Raw genomic sequence first — 18,002 nt, 5'->3', positions numbered from 1 at the left:
CACGGCACGATCTTCTCTGTTTATTAAAGCTGATCTGTTTCTCTCTCTGCATATTCTCTATTCTCATCTCTCCCTGGCCATATTCACTGACCATCTTGCCCTCAGCTTGACAGAGACAACTGAGGCCATCAGTTGGATAAGAAGTCTATTAATCTTGATCTCCCATCTCAGTTCAGCCTCTATCCCTCTCCTCTTCTATCTCAGCAGGGTCTTGGATCTCAGTGAGTTGGGTCATCCTTTCCATCCCCCACCCCCATATTTGTTTCTTCAGGCTGTTAGATCTCTCTTAGTTTTTTTTTTTTCTATCTTCAGTGTAGCATTTTTCATTGTAGATAATAGGAGCATTCTTCAAAACCCCTCTCTTCACTTGGTTTCTCTGAAACACCCAGCCCTTTCTTGATCTTCCTTCTACATTCTGGTCTTCCTTTCTCAGTCTTCTATCTGACCTGCTAAGGCATTAAAGTCTACATTCAGAAAGGACCACAGAATCCTGTTCTTTCAGCATGTCAGAAAATAACAGTACCATTAGATATCATTGTTTGACTTAGGTGGAAGAGACATTTATATTCAAATCTTTCTTCGTTTTATATAGCTTATATGGCGGAATTAAAAATAAATATATTTACCATCAGTATTTTATTACATTTTTATTGCTTACTTACCTTAGGTATAGAGAATATTCACAATGTTGTCATGATTTATTGTCTTCCAACAATTATTAATTGGGAATCCCTATGGGCTGGACATTAAGAGGATTATGGAAAAATATAATGATAATGATTACCCTTCATCGATCCTTTCATGTTTGCCAGAAAGGGAAGTATATAACAAGTTTGCACAGTAGGTATTAAATTCTCCAATTTTACATAAAATGACGTTGGGACTTCAAGTTCACAAGTTCACACAGCATGCAACCGAAGAGCTGGGATTCACGCTGTGTCTTCCCACCTCAACACTTTCTTTATATGACTTAACACTAAGTATAAGAGATCTTAACAGGTACAAGTTATGAGGAGGAGTGATTACTATGATTAGCTTGGAGTTTTGATAAAACTAATTATATAATTGTTTTTACTTATTGATTTTTTCTGAAATTAACAAAAATATGAAGTTCTTCAGGGTCTTGGAGTATTGTAAAAGACAAAAAGCTATTTCTATACAGATTTTTCATTTCAATGTACAAGTTGATTTCTTCCTGCCTTATAAAATCATACACTTTGAAAGCAAAGCTAAGCATTGTTTTGTAAAAATAATAACAATAATAATAATTCATTCGAAAAAGTTCAATGCTGGCCTTTTGTTAGTCACTCCCAAGACAAATGGACTAGGAATTTTTATATGATTCTGGAGGTGCTAAAGCTCTCTCTCCCTGACAGCTCATTAATTATTGACATTTTCTCTTTTTCTCCCCATGGGATTCTGGGACTGGAAGAGACCCTGTTATATAGTCCCCATATGAAAATAAGCAATGACCTGGGACCCAAATGAAATCACGAAGGCCTAATGAGAATCAGGAGGTGCATGTAATGGGAGGCAGGCAGTGGGCCTAATGAGATACTTAGCAGACCCTGTCTCTTCTTTCTATTAACCTTTCTCTCTTTTTCAGGGTAATGATTTAGGGTGTGTTTTATTGGAATTTTTAGCATATTTCCTCTTACAGTTTTTTATATTTTTAGAGTTTTCTAGTGTACTGATTATAACGGCATGAGGTGGCAAGGTTGTCTTAGTATAGGTAGATACAAGGGCTGATGTTAAGGTGAAAAGGGAAGCCTTTAGTAGGTCTGGCTGTTTTCCTGACACCTTGAAAATGCCCAGTCTTTTGTGATCTTGGAAGCTGGTTTATTTATATTTGGTGGGAATATAAATGCTACAGATCTTGCTCCTAGACAGGGAAGATGAGATGATAGGGGATGCCAAGTGACAAGTCATATAAAGTGATAGTATGTTGTGAAGGTGCAGTCTGTGACAGTTTCTAGAATCAATGGAAAAAGAGCTGGGACCAACTAAATGCCTGTCATGAGTATAGGAAGGAGAAGTTGTGGTGGCCATATTAGATTTTGGGCATTTCTGTGTAAAAAGACCATAAATCCTTGGAGGCAAGAATTGTATATATTGGCACAAGGTAGTCAACTAATATTTAGAAATAAATAGGGATTGAATTAAAGGGATACAAATAATGGTTTTAAACTCTTTTCAAGTCTGATTTTTGGGATATATTTGTTGGTAAATAGTTCTTAAATGTGAGCAACTGTATCTACGATATCTCAGAAAGTACTGGTGTGTTTTAGATGGAGAAAGATGTATTCCTAAGAAATTTAAACCTCAAGTTTGACTATGAGGTTTGTGGTTTAAGTTTATATTGCTATGAGGTCGAGAGACACAAACTGAAAAATCAATTTCAAACAGAATCTTAGGTTGGAAGTATTCTTGGAACAACTGGCTAAAACAGTCAAAAAGCATCTTTGGAAGACCACAGTCTCAGCCAAGAGCACAAAGATGTCACCTTCACTACAGCCCCACCAACACGAGCTCACAATCCAAAATCTAAAATCTGCAAGGAAACAAATCATTGAGAGACAGCAGAGTGGCAAACAACAGAATTAGACCTCAAGATTTTTATATAATATAATAACTAAAGATTATAAAGTTTGCATATATATACTTAAAGAAATGAAAGATGAAAACAAAAACATAAGAAATGAATTATTCAAATAAAGAGCAAACAGGTTGAAGGAATTTGAGTACTTATAAGGGGTATTAAGAGTAATCCACCCAAGGAAAATACATGTATCAAAATAGAATATATAACTTTCTACACAGAGGAGACATAAGAAAGAAAAAATTAATCAATACAAAAGAAGGCAGGAAATGGAAACAGCAACAAATATAAAAGTATAGAAAAAGGCAGAGTAATTTGAAAGCATGTGGTAGAAATAAATTCAAATATATCAATAGTAAACAAAATTGTAAATGAATTAAACTCATACATCAAAAGGGAAACACTGTCAGATTTTACTTTTTAAACTTGTTATTGAATTATACATGAAGAAAAGCGCATATATGTATGGAACTTATTGAATTCTTACAAACTAAACTCAACTGTATAACCAGCATCCAGATCACAAAGTATAACATTACCAGCCTCCTAGAAGCCCCCTTCAGGCCCCTTTGAGTGACCCCTTCCTTCTCCCTGAAAAAGGGTAGCTGCTATCTTGACTCAATAAGTATAGGTTAGTTCTCATTTATTTACCTAGATTTTATTAAAGATTTAAATATGAAAAACAAAAATCATAAATTGTTTAGAAGACAGTCTTTATCATTTCAGTTTGGAAAGAATTCTAAAGCACAAAACATTATAAAAGATTGGTCAATTTGATTACCTTAAAATAAAGAACTTTTGCTCATCAAAGTTATTTTAATTTAAATAATTAAAGAATTTAAAATGATATAAATTCTAGTCACAAACAGGAGAAAAATTTGCCATTTGACATATGACTGTCAAAGGATCAGTGTCCAGAATAAAGAATTACTTCAGTTCCATAGGAGATAAGCTACCCATTAATTTAAAAATCAGCAAAATAAATGAGCAGGTGTTTCGTAGGAGAGGAAATCTTAACGGCCATCAGTATATCATAAAATGTTCAACATCAGTGGTCCTGTGGGGAGTTCAAATTAAACCACAACTACTAGATTAGGAAAAATGAAATATACAGTACAAGGTTAAGAGCACAGACTGGAGTCAGACTAGCTGGGTTCAGATCCCTGATCCATATACTAGTTTTGTGCTCTTGGGAAAGTCACTGCACCTCTTTGGGCTTTTGTTTTCTCATCTGTAAAGTGAGGCTAATGATTCTTCCTACCTAATGGAATTATTGTGATAATTAAATGAGTTATGTGTTTGTGTGTAAAGTATTATAACAGGACCTGGCATGTTATAAGATCTATTTGTTAACTATCTTTATCAGTTTGGACTGCTATAACAGAATACCACTGGGTAGTTTAAACAACAGTTATGTCTTACATTTCTATACTCTAAATCCAAGATCCAAGTGCTGGTAGATTTGTATCTGGTGAGGACTCTCTTCCTGGTTTGCAGGTGGCTACCTTGTTGCTGTATCCGCACATGATGGACAGAGGACAGGTCTCTCTCTCAACTCTATTCTTATTAGGACACTAATCTCATAATAAGGGCTTTGTCTCATGATCTCATTCAAACTTAATTACTTCCTCCCACAAATGAATACCATCACAGTAGGGATTAGTGAGTGCTTCAACATATGAATTTCAAGGAGACACAAACATCAGTCCATAGCACCATATTAGCAATTATGACTATAGGATGCCCTTGGATGACTTCTGTTTTCTATCTAAACTCATTTCCTAGATGATCTGATTTAGACTCATGAATTTAAATACCACTTATTTACTGATAGTTTCCAAATATACATCTCCAGCCTGGAGTCTTCTCCTAATCTGTAGTCTTGCATATCCATTTGCCTTCTATATCTATTATGCATCTTAAACTTCACACATCCAAAATTGCCTCCCCCTTTCCTCCCTATTCACTCACCCAAACGCCTATTCAAGCATTAACTTCCTCATTAGGAGCAATTCTATTCTTCTATTTGTTCAGGCCAAAAATGCAGATGTCTTATTTGATTTATTTCTCTTACATCCCAACTTTGGTCCTTCAAAAAATCCTCTCACCTCTCTCTACTTTCAAAATATATACAGAATTGTGTCTCTTCTCACTCGCCCCATTGCCCCCACGCTGGTCCAGGCCACTAACATCTTCCACTTGGACTATGACAATAACCTTCTAACCAGGCTTTCTACTTCAGCCCTGACCCTCTCTAGGCCTATCTTAATAGAGTAGCTAGAATGATGGTGTTAAAGCATTATCAGATCATGTCACCTTATTCCTCAAAACCCTCTAGTGCCTTCTCTTCTTCCAAACTAAAAGCCAGAATCATCGTTAAGTCTTGTACATTCCTAGGTCACCTGGTTCCTGATTCCCACACTTATCTCCTCTTCTTCCATTCTACTTCTTGCTCCAACCTTTCTAGGTTCCTTGATGTTTCTCAGGGTCTTTATCTTGCTCTTCACTATAACTAGAGTGTCCCTCTTCCAAATGTCCACCTGGCTTGCTCTCTCACTGTTTTATTTTTTTAGGGAAAGAAAAAGCCAAATAAGCCTCCTTTCAGTGATACCTTTGTTGTACACTACCTAAAATTTCAACACCTACCTCAACATTTGATCTCCCTTTATGCTTTCTTTTTCTACCTTAGCTCTTGTAACTATCTAATATACTAGATGTTTAAGTTATTTGTCTTGTTTATTGGCTCTTCCTCATAATTTATGTTCCAAAAAGGCAGGTTTTCTTGTCAGTTTTGTTCACTACTGCATCTCCAGCACCTACAACAGTAGCTGGCACACAGTAGGTCCTCAGTTGCTTTTTGTTGGATGAATAAATAAATCAACAAATGTCAAGTTTGGGCAAGGATGTGGAGCAGCTGGAACATTTGTTTACATACTACAGGTAGAAATGTTGTTGTGACACAGGAATTCCACCCCTAGTAAATACCATCTAGTTAAGTGCTTCCTATGCACATCAGGAGACAAGTACAAGAATAGTCAAAGTTCCACTGTTCCACTGTTTGTTATAGCAAAGCACTGGACACAACCAAAATGTCCATCAACAATAGAATAGATATGTGGAAACACATTTCCACTTATTTATATCATATAGCAAGGAAAATGAGTTAATCATAACTATAGCCAAGCCATGTGGGTGAATTTCAAGAACTAAATTTTGAGCAATATATGCAGCATTATTTCACTTACGTAAATTTGAAAAACAAAAAACCAAATAATACATTTTTCTGTGATACTAAGATATGCAATAAAAGTATAGTGAAAAGCAAGGTAATCAGGGACACAAAATTTAGGACAGTAATTACTGCAGCGGTGGACACGATGGGATGGAATCCCAGAGGAGTAAAGAGCAATTCTGAAATATAAAGGTCATGTTATTTCTCTTTGACTGTATGAGGAGCATATAGATATTTGTTGTATGTTTTTATATTTCACAGTTATAAACATTCCATAATATCTACTCAATAGATAACAAATAATATTACACAAAAATCTAAAGAAAGTAGTTAAACAGCCCTTTCTGCGTGGTCACGCTGAGCCAGCGCCTGGGCCTGGAACCGGGCTGCAGCCCCTGAGCTTCGCCCACCACCTCCCTGCCATGGACCCCCGCAAAGTGAACAAGCTTCGGGCCTTTGTGAAAATGTGTAAGGAGGATCCGAGCGTTCTGCACACCGAGGAAATGCGCTTCCTGAGGGAGTGGGTGGAGAGCATGGGAGGTAAAGTACCACCTGCTACTCAGAAAGCTAAATCAGAAGAAAATACCAAGGAAGAAAAACCTGACAGTAAGAAGGTGGAGGAAGACTTAAAGGCAGAAGAACCGTCAAGTGAAGAAAGTGATCTAGAAATTGATAAAGAAGGTGTGATTGAACCAGACACTGATGCTCCTTAAGAAATGGGAGATGAAAATGCGGAGATAACGGAGGAGATGATGGATCAGGCAAATGATTAAAAAGTGGCTGCTATTGAAGCCCTAAACGATGGTGAACTCCAGAAAGCCATTGACTTATTCACAGATGCCATCAAGCTGAATCCTTGCTTGGCCATTTTGTATGCCAAGAGGGCCAGTGTCTTCGTCAAATTACAGAAGCCAAGTGCTGCCATCCAAGACTGTGACAGAGCCATTGAAATAAATCCTGATTCAGCTCAGCCTTACAAGTGGCGGGCGAAAGCACACAGACTTCTAGGCCAGTAGGAAGAAGCAGCCCATGATCTTGCCCTTGCCTGTAAATTGGATTATGATGAAGATGCTAGTGCAATGCTGAAAGAAGTTCAACCTAGGGCACAGAAAATTGCAGAACATCGGAGAAAGTATGAGCGAAAACGTGAAGAGCGAGAGATCAAAGAAAGAACAGAACGAGTTAAGAAGGCTCAAGAGGAGCATGAGAGAGCCCAGAGGGAGGAAGAAGCCAGACGACAGTCAGGAGCACAGTATGGCTCTTTTCCAGGTGGCTTTCCTGGGAGAATGCCTGGTAATTTTCCTGGAGGAATGCCTGGAATGGGAGGGGGCATGCCTGGAATGGCCGGAATGCCTGGACTCAATGAAATTCTTAGTGATCCAGAGGTTCTTGCCGCCATGCAGGATCCAGAAGTTATGGTGGCCTTCCAGGATGTGGCTCAGAACCCAGCAAGTATGTCAAAATACCAGAGCAACTCAAAGGTTATGAATCTCATCAGTAAATTGTCAGCCAAATTTGGAGGTCAAGCGTAATGCCCTTCTGATAAATAAAGCCCTTGCTGAAGGAAAAAAAAAAAAGTTAAAGAAATTGACATGCTATTTATTAAACAAGAATTTCAATTACTCAATAAACAGAAATTGCTCAAACTCACTATTAATCAGGGACTACAAATTAAAATGATTATAAGATAATATTCATAGGACTGAAAAAAATTTCAAGTTGCTCAGATTAGGAATTGGTAAGGTTTTAGGAAAGCAGATATTCTAACACACTACCCAAGAAGATGAAAAATTATATACTCATTTAAAGGACAATTTTGTAGTATCTATTAAAAGTAATCCTGTACAAACCTATGACCAGCAAATTTACTCTCAGCATATTTTCAGAATGATACCTATTTTAAAACACATGAAAATACACTACTACTTTAATAAATATACCTCTCTCAATAAAAATATTTTACATAGGGTAGGAGAGGCAGGAAGCAAAGAAGGGTAATCAAAGGAGACTCTGTCATCAGTAATGCTCTAATTTTTAAAAGCAGATTTATGTATTTGCTTGATTGTAATTAATTTTATAAAATAAATACGATAAAAGCTGCATACCCGAATTTTCCAGATGCAGCTAATTAAATGTAGCATTTAATTGAAATTAAGGCATTTATATCCTTTAATGTTTATGTTAAAAGGCACAAGAGACTTAAATTTAACGAGTTAAGATACCAGTGTGAGAGGTTAGAAAAAGAACATACAGAACAAATCCAAACAATGCAGAATTTAGCAAAAAATAAAGATAAAAGCTGAAATAAAAAGAAATAGATAAGAAAACTGAAATAAAGATGATTAACCAAGTCAAAAGTGTTTCACTGAAAAGACAAATAAAATAGACAATTTTGATAAGTCAGAGAGAGAGCAAAAATAAGCAATGCTATAAGAGAAGAGCATGACTGGAGGTGCTGTGGAGATTAAAAAGTAAGAACATGTCGTGTACAGTTTATGCAAATACATCAGAAAACTTAAATGGACAATTTCCTAGAAGTGTATAACTGACTAAACTATCTGAAGGAAGAAAAAAACCCTAAATAGCCCTGCAATCTTTCAAGAAATTGAGTCAGTAGCTAAAAATCCATTCACCCAAAAACACAAGGCCCAGAATTTTTCCTAGGTGAGTTCTACCTAACTTTCAAGGAATAGATCACTCCAATTTTATACAAACCGTGAAAGAGAAAAGACAAAAGAGAAATGCACCTCAAATCATTTCATGAGGCTAGGATAATACTCCAGAAATGAAGATCAGTTTATGTCAGTAACACAAATGAAAAATATATGCCAATCTCGTAAACAGAGATATAAAGGTTGTAAACAATCAACAAGCCAAATTCATCAATGTAAAAAAATACATATGACTAACCTGCATTTATCCCAGGAATATAAGAATAATATTAGAAAATTGTGAGTACAGTTTACTACATTAACAAATGAAGAGAAAATAATCTCTCAGTAGATACAGAAAACGCATTTAATAGAAAACATTCAAGACATATTAATTTAAAAATGTTTGGCAAGGTATAAAAGGGAAGAACTTCCTCTATGTGATACAGTATCTAGTGGGAAAAAAACTGTAGAAAACATCGTATATGCTGGTGAGCCTTCAGAAGTGTAATGCCTTTTGTAGACAGTCATACTTCATTTTATTGTGCTTCTCTTTATTGTGCTTTACAGATACTGCAATTTTTACAAATTGAAATTTTGTGGCAACCCTGCTTGGAGCAAGCCTCTCTGCCTCATCTTTCCAGCAGCATGTGCTCATTTTATGTCTCTGTGTCACCTTTTGCTAATTCTCACACTATCATAAGCTTTTTCATTATATGTGTTATGATGAGCTGTCATCCACAACGTTTGATGTCACTATTGTAATTATTTAGGGGCATTATGAACCATGTTCATATAAGATGGCAAACTTAATAGTTGTCTGTGTTTTGATTGCTCCACCAACTGGTCATTCCCCCATCTCTCTTGCTCCTCTCTGGCCTCCCTATTCACAAAAACACTGAAATTAGGCTAACCAATCACCTTAAAATAGCCTCTGAGTGTTTAAGTGAAAGGAAGAGTTGCACATGTCTGGGTTGAAATCAAAGGCTAGAAATGATTAAGCTTAGTGAGGAAGGCATGTCAAAAGGCAGGACAGGCCGAAAGCTAGGTCTCTTGCACAAAACAGCCAATTTATTGATGCAAAGGAAAAGTTTTCTAAATAAATTTAAAATGCTACTCCAGTGAACACACAAATGATAACAAAAAAAAGCAAAACAGTCTTACTGCTGATATAGAGAAAGTTTTAGTGGTCTGGATAGAGGATAAAACCAGCTACAACATTCCCTTAAGCCAAAAGCCTAATGCAGAGCAAGACCCTCCCTTCAATTCTGTGAAGGCTAAGAGGCAAGATAGCTGCAGAGAAAAAGATTGAAGCTAGCAAGGTTTGTTCATGACGTTTGAAGAAAGAAGCTGTCTCCATAACATAAAAGTGCAAGGTGAAGCAGCAAGTGCTGATGTAGAAGCTGTAGCAAGTTATCCAGAGGATCTAGCTAATTGATAAAGGTGGCTACACTAAACAACAGATTTCCAGTGTAAATAAAACAGCCTCTATTGAACAAAAATGCCATGTAGGACTTTCATAGCTGGAGAGAAGTCAATGCCTGGTTTGAAAGTTTCAAAAGACAGGCTGACCTTCTTGTTAGGGATTAATGTAGCTGTTTACTTAAGTTGAAGACAATGCTTATTTGCTATTCTGAAAATCCTAGAGCCCTTAAGAATTATGCTAAATCTACTCTGCCTGTGCTCTATATATGGACCAACAAAGCCTGGATGACAGCACATCTGTTTACAGCATGGTTTGTTTGAAGAAACCGCCATTGAGATTTACTGCTCAGAAAAAAAAAAAAAGGTTCCTTTCAAAATATTGCTGCTCTTTTTAAGGATGAGTTCATGTCCTTTGTAGGGACATGGATGAAGCTGGAAACCATCATTCTTAGCAAACTATTGTAAGGACAAAAAACCAAACGCCGCATGTTCTCACTCATAGGTGGGAATTGAACAATGAGATCACTTGGACACAGGAAGGGGAACATCACACACCGAGGCCTGTCCTGGGGTAGGGGGACGGGGGAGGGATAGCATTAGGAGATATACCTAACGTAAATGACATTAGGTATATCAGTTAATGGGTGCAGCACACCAACATGGCACATGTATACATATGTAACAAACCTGCACGTTGTGCACATATACCCTAGAACTTAAAGTATAATAAATAAAAAATAAATTTAAAAAATTGCTGCTCATTGACAATGCACCTGGTCACCCAAGAGCTCTGATAGCTATGTGCAAAGAGGTGAATGTTGTTTTCATGCCTGCTAACAAATATCCATTCTGCAGCCCATGGATCAAGGAGTAATTTTGACTTTCTTATTTAAGGAATACATTTTGCAAGGCTATAGCTGCCATGGAAAGTGATTCCTCTGATGGATCTGGGCAAGTATATCTAAAACCTTCTGGATAGGATTCACCATTCTAAATGCTATTAAGAACATTTGTGATTTATGAAAGGAGGTCAAAATATCAACATTAACAGGGCTTTGGAAGAAGTTGATTCCAACCCTCATGGATGATTTTGAGGGATACAAGACTTCAGTGGGGGAAGTAACTTCGAATGTGGTAGGAATAGCAAGAGAAATAGAATTAAAAACAGCCTGAATTGCTGCAGTCTCATGATAAAACTTGAACAGATGAGTTGTTTCTTATGGATGAGCAACGAAAGTGGCTTCTTGAGATGGATTTTCAAGAAAATCCATTGTGAAGATGCTGTGAACATTGTTGAAATGACAACAAAAGATTTAGAATATCACATAAACTTGGTTGATAAAGCAGCCGCAGAGTTTGAGAGGATTGACTCTAATTTGGAAAGAAGTTCTATTGTGGGTAAAATTCTATCAAATAGCATCACATGCTACAGAAAAATCTTTTGTAAAAGGAGAGTCATTCAATTTAGCAAACTTCATTGTTGCCTTATTTTTAGAAGTTGCCAAAGCCACCCCAGCCTTCAGCAACCACCAGCCTTATCAGTCAGGAGCCATTAAACATCTAGGTTAAGACCCTCCACTAGGAAAAAGATTATGATTCACTGAAGGCTCAGGTGATTGTTAGCATTTTTTAGTAATAAAGCATTTTTAATGAATACATGTACATTTCTTTTGTTTGCTTTGTTTTGTTTGTTTGTTTTTTGAGACAGAGTCTCGCTCTGTCACCCAGGCTGGAGTACAGTGGCACAGTCTTGGCTCACTGTAACCTCTGCCTCCCGGGTTCAAGCAATTCTCTGCCTCAGTCTTCCAAGTAGCTGGACTTACAGGCACCCACCACCACGACCAGCTGATTTTTGTATTTTTAGTAGAGATGGGGTTTCACCATCTTGGTCAGGCTGGTCTTGAACTCCTGACCTCGTGATCCACCCGCCTTGGCATCCCAAAGTGCTGGGATTACAGGCGTGAGCCACCGCACCCAGCCATGTACATTGTTTTTTAGACATAACGGTATTGTACACTTAATAGACTACAGTATCATGTAAGCATAACTTTTATATACACTGTGAAACCAAAAATTGTGTGTGACTCATTTTATTGCTATATTTGCTTTATTGCAGTGGTCTGGAACCAAACCCACAATATCTCCTGTAGTATGCCTGTAGTTTAAGTATTCTCTTTTTGATATATGTTTTGGTGGTTTTCCACCCTTTTCATTTTAAGTAGTTAACATCCTAAATGTAAATCTATGTCTACTTGTTACATTATTTCCTTAGGATAAATTCTAGTAAGTGTAATTGCTCAGTTCAACGTTTTAGATCCTATAAAGTTTTATTACATATTCCTAATCTCCGTGCTGGATGATTATACAAACTTTCAGTGCCACCAAGCAATTCCTGAGAGTTGCCTTTTATTAATTTTATTCATTCAGCAGATATTTATGGAGCATTATGATATGCTAAGTTCTCTGCTGTGAGTTGAGGTTCAGTGACAAACAAAACGAATATGGTTGGTGCTCTTGCTGAGCTTACAGACAAGTTTTTGGGCTATCCATACATGTTGTTTGAGAAATTGCCTGTTTTGTGACTTTACCCTTTTTTTGGAGTATTCAGTTTGATTTACCACAAGGTGAAATTCCAGGGTATTCAGCATCTGAAGTATAAGGCATATAAGAAATGATATGTCTTTGGGTAGAATGACTATTATTTTCTAGACCAAATATAGAACAAATGGTGGAAAGACACAATTATGTATAGATGCAGATAAAAGACCAAAGTGTCTGAAAATAGGTCAGTCCCAAGAAATCTGAAATGAATGATTTCCTCATCCAAGGAAAGGAGGGTGTGCCACTTCACAGAGAGGCTGAGGGCTTAGGCCACAGACTACGTCATACCCCCAGTTATGCCTGGACAAGGTCCTCCAGTATTGCTGGAGTAAAACATTGTTGAGTTAATACTGCACAAGTGGTCTGCCTCTTGGGCCACTGAGCCTTGGCTTAGTACTCCTAACACGGGCTGTAATTTGACTCAAATTAAACTGAGCATATTTCCCTGTAGAGAACACCTCAATACCATTTATCATTCTCAATCAGCAATTCCAACTTCAAAAAAGAATACAAAAATCAGTGCTGACGAGATAGCAAATAGCTTCAGCTGCTGGCTCCTTCCTCCCCAATTAAAACTGGAGGGACTGCATAACTGAGAGGAAGCTGGGAGCTGAAGAAGTAATAATTAACTAGGAGAACACCTGGAAAGGCCAAGGTTGTCTTAAAGGTCGTGGGGGCAAGGGAAAGGATGGCCATAGCTTGGACAGTAGCCAGAAACAGAAGTAGGAAGAGAGGTTCAGGCAAAGATTTTAACTTCTTCCTTCCCCTCTTTACTTGACTGTTTTGGGGTGATCATCCGCCCACCCCCACTGCACCAGCCCAAGGCATCCATTGTGGTGTCTGGGGCCAAACAACTTGATGAAAGTGCGAGAATTGCCCGTGGGCATTCTTTTCTCGATCTTCTGCACCCCCAAATTCTCTGGGCTAATGGAAGATGGAGGATCTGAAGAAATCGTGTCTTTTCAGTGTTGCTTCATTCTAAAGATTTAAAGGCAAATTCCTGACAGGAATTTCTTGGAGAAGTGAACAGGCAGACATTGATGGTCAAAAATTTGGTTGTGTTAAAGCTTTTCTCCACCCTGGAGCTTACCCTTTTCCTTCTGAACATTACTGAGGGGATATTCCAGTGTGTATATGGGCCTTTCCCCACACACCTTGCCTAACAAGTTTGACCCCAGGAAAATGTGACTCACAGGCCAAAACAGCAAGATGTTCAATGCATACAACCAGTAGAAAACAGACCAAAAACTGAACATAGAACATAAACATGAAGCAAAATTACTGGAACATATGGACCAAGAATTTAAAATGGGCATAATTAGTATCCTTAAAGAGATAAAGTAGAATGTTAGTAATATGAAGCGGGTACAAGAAGACGTAATAAGAATCGGATGAAAAAATTAAATTTGAAAATTTTTCAATATTTTTCAAAAATTGAAGTAGAGAAATAATAGACACTCAGAGCCTAGGTGCTTTTATCCAACACAGGATCGGAACCAGCTAATTAATGGAAAAGTCATCTAAAGCAAAGAATCATTCTATAAAATGACACAAATATCTCGGGTATTTAATTTTCACTTATAAATTATATATTAATTTTCCAATCTTTTAATAAAGACAATGTTTTTTCTTTGAATATTACAGTTCTGAGTTGCCTTTCTTTCACAAAGTACACCACAAATATATCAACCAGAATTTCTAGTATTTCTATTGCTTTAGTTTTGAGATTAAAGACATTGGCAAATATAAGAATCTGTCTGTATTTGGATATACATTTTTGCAACATTTTACAATTGTCCTTCTCACTACTAATTTAGTAATATTTTCTAAGCAACTTAATTTTATCAAGTCTTTCTGCATATTTAACTTAGTTTTTTGAAAAACATCAACTTTCTTTCATATCCACATTTAATCTATACAAATTATGCAATTACAAATATCAATTTAAAGTAGACAAAAACAAATTTTGGAACAAGCATGGCTCTTGTTAAGCATAAAATTCATGTGGTGGAAGCAGAAGTTACCTGGGCACACTGGAGAGCAACTTACTAAGCGTCAGCATTTAGTGTGTAGAGGACATTAGACAGTATGTTTTACAGAACAAATAGGGGATTAATCTAGAGAGTGGAGACTAAGAGCTTCTAGCACATATCTATAGTACAGTCTTTCTCCATATATATGTATATAATTTTTTTGCAGATAAACTAATTTTTGAAAATCATCATAAATACACATATACAAGAGCACTTTCTCAGGGATCTTTGTAGGGTAACTTTGAAGGACCTAAACAGATTGGAACAAAAACAAAATTGACCCCAAACCACAGAAATAAGTCAGAGCTAAAGCTCTCATTCAGAGCTGTTTTATGCATGCATGGTCTTTATATGAAATATAACTTTCTTCCTTGGATACAAAGAGAAATACACTCTTACACTGTAATAATTTATAATTTTTGGCATTTTGCCTATATTCTCAAGGGCGTGCAGTAGCTTCAACACAGAGGCTTTACAGAGGGGAGCTTTATAAATCTCATCAAAAGAAAGCTCAAAAAACTTAATCGTTGTAAAATAAGAATTTTCTGGAGTTTAATATAAACATTGACAATCTACAGTCAGTATATTTTAACTATCCATTACAAAGGAACAAGTTAAGCAAACATAATTTTCATCAGCTATTGATTTATTTATAGCCATGCCTTTATAAAAATTATCTGATAGTCTATTCTCCAATTGAATGACATTATCCAAATGTCATATATTTTTGTCTTTCATTTTCATTGATTTCTCTGATTTATAAAGCCTCTTTTACACTCTCCAATTTCTTATCATGTCCCAAAGAATCAATGTTCTACTCTAAGTTTCAAGCTTTCTATTGCATGCCTTTCCATAGTCCACTCTGCCATAGATCAGAAATTGAATTCAAAGACATCTGCCTAATGACAATGAGTTTTAACTGTTTGTTGTAGCTTTTTATTTTCTTTGTTAGTTAAATCAAGTAAACTTATAACCACCTGTAGAACAAAAATTAAGAGTTTTAATATCACTGTTTACATATAGTATAAAGTTGAGTGCTATGTCCTCCATTTATTACATTAAAAATCTTACTGAAATACTCAAGAAAAGCATCTGTGCCTCTTCACCTTCTAAATTGTAAAATATTTACTTTTATATCTTACCCAAAAGATGACCCAAAAGTGAAAGGAAAAGTTGAGCAATGAATTTGGTCAGGTTAAATAGTAAATCAGTTTAATTAGTCCTCTTTTCTTTTTCCTCATAAATTGGAGATGGGGGAAATGTGGTAAAAGAAATTTTTCTGAGAAGTTCTGATTACTGTTGTACCATTACAGTAGAATATATAAAACTACCGAATTCAGAAAGTTTTTTAAAGGAATCTCAATATACACTAACATAATGAAAATGTTTATTGAGAATAACATAACATAAAACAAGTAAGCTCTTGAAATCTTCAAGCTGGTTATGAAACTAAGTGTTATTTCAGACAAGTGCAGCACTGGCAGTGACAAAGCCTGCTTGAATGAATACTGGTTTGATTCTAGGGTTTTGTGTTTGTCCTGATGATCTAATGCATTCCACTGTGTAATGGCCGATCATGAAACATCACTGAATAATGTTCTCAATCCTACGTATTTTAGTTTGCAATACTTTTATCAAGGGATTGGGTTGGCATGAAGAGATCAAACACATCTCTAGATATCTGGGACTTAATATTCTGTTTGTTGCTAGCAGTAAATGTTAATTTAGAAAGAGCACATGGTTCTCATAGTGGATGGAGTGGAGTATCCTCAGTCATGTCTTAAACAGTTGTTACTCATCTGACTGGCAATGGCTAGGATTTTGGTATTCAGTTCAGACACCTTAAAAAAACATAATTAGAAATATTTCCTTTTTTCATGTGTTGCTATGGACTGCATGTTTGTATCCCCCATGTTGAAACCTAACCCCCAATTTAATGGTATTTGGAGTTGGGGCCTTTGGGAGATAATTAGGTCATGAGGGTGGAGCCCTCACTAGTGGGATTCATGCCATTATTAGAAGAGACGTGAGAGCTTGCTTGCTCATTCTCTCTGCTCTCCAGCATATGAAGATACAACCAAAGAGCCATCTGCAAACTAGGAAATGGGCTCTCAACACCAGATCTGCAGCCACCTTAATGTTGGACTACCTAACCTCCAGAACTGTGATAAATGGGTGTTTGTTGTTTCAGCCACCCAGTCTATGGTGTATTTATTATAGAAGCCAGAACTAAGACATGTATTCTTCATACTCCCACCTAAGAGTTTAGCATAGGCTAATTACAAAGACAAAAAGATACACAAGTAATGTTTAACACCTAGAGTGAACATTTATGTAAACTATGGGCTTTGGCTAATAATGATGCTTCAACATAGATTCATTAATTGTAACAAATGCACAACTCTAATGAGGGATATTAATAATGAGAGAGGCTGGGCCAGGCGCAGTGGCTCACGCCTGTAATCCTAGCACTTTGGGAGGCCGAGGCAGGCAGATCACGAGGTCAGGAGTTTGAGACCATCCTGGCTAACATGGTGAAACCCCGTTTCTGCTAAAAATACAAAAAATTAGCCGGGCGCTGTGGCGGGCACCTGTAGTCCCAGCTACTCGGGAGGCTGAGGCAGGAGAATGGCGTGAACACAGGAGGCAGAGCTTGCAGTGAGCAGAGATCGCGCCACTGCACTCCAGCCTGGGTGACAGAGTGAGACTCCATCTCAAAAAATAAAAATAATAATAATAATAATGATAATAATAATGAGAGAGGCTGTACATGTGTCGGGATAGGAGGTATATGGGGTATCTCTGTACCTTCCTCTCAATTTTGCTATGAACCTAAAATTGCTCTAAAAAACAAAATCTTAAGATAATATGCACAAGATGAATAAGGAAGGAGGTCAGCAATCTCTAAATAAAAAAAGTTAAAGAAAAGGGACTGTTAACCTTTGAAAAATGTGATAATGTGTGAATTTTCCATACCAGTACCTAATATTAATATCAATGTTTTTCTTGGCTTATTCATTAAGGGATTTTTTAAAGACACGATTTTAATTTCTGCACAGAAAATATATTGTTTCAACTAGGCAATTTTCTTTAGTTAGTACTTATTGGCAAAACCACAGAGAAACTAATTGTCTTATTCTACAACTTTTGTTTTTTCAAAGGACCAGTACTATTAGATTTACTGAGAAAATCTTTTGGAGGACACTTGTTTGAATGTAACCAGCATTACATTCAAATAAGTGTCCTCCAAAAGAGTCCCCCAGCCTTTGCAGATATTCTAGACTCAAGACCTCATATGTCAGCCACAAACTCACAGCAGCAAAATGTTTATTTTCAAAACTAATAAGACTGTTGAATGAAAAGTGGCAGTTGCTGCCTAAACTGTGGAATTGCCTACTGCTGCAACTATTCTGATAAAAATCCCCTCTCTGCTGTTAGAGCCAAGCAATATAAAATAAAAT

The 18,002-nt window shown here is 36.7% G+C and overlaps 1 protein-coding gene and 1 pseudogene across 4 annotated transcripts in view, besides 1 other annotated feature; both read left to right on the top strand.

Annotated features, from left to right (window-relative positions):
- The window catches only part of SLC9A9 (solute carrier family 9 member A9), a 583,247-nt gene that overhangs the window by 323,986 nt on the left and 241,259 nt on the right, over positions 1–18,002 (top strand). The gene's annotated exons all lie outside the window — the stretch shown is intronic.
- ST13P15 (ST13, Hsp70 interacting protein pseudogene 15) lies at positions 6,170–7,400 on the top strand (annotated as a pseudogene).
- Positions 6,346–6,876: an enhancer, noted in NCBI's record as "NANOG-H3K27ac-H3K4me1 hESC enhancer chr3:143236449-143236979 (GRCh37/hg19 assembly coordinates)". NCBI's record gives its function as "activates a minimal SCP1, AML or CMV promoter by ChIP-STARR-seq in naive H9 embryonic stem cells {active_cell/tissue: H9 hESC(naive)}" and the evidence as "EXISTENCE:reporter gene assay evidence [ECO:0000049][PMID:30033119]".

Source organism: Homo sapiens, chromosome 3 (genome assembly GCF_000001405.40).
Source record: "Homo sapiens chromosome 3, GRCh38.p14 Primary Assembly".
NCBI classification, from domain to species: Eukaryota; Metazoa; Chordata; class Mammalia; order Primates; family Hominidae; genus Homo; species Homo sapiens.
This window is presented reverse-complemented; position numbering and strand designations above follow the sequence as displayed.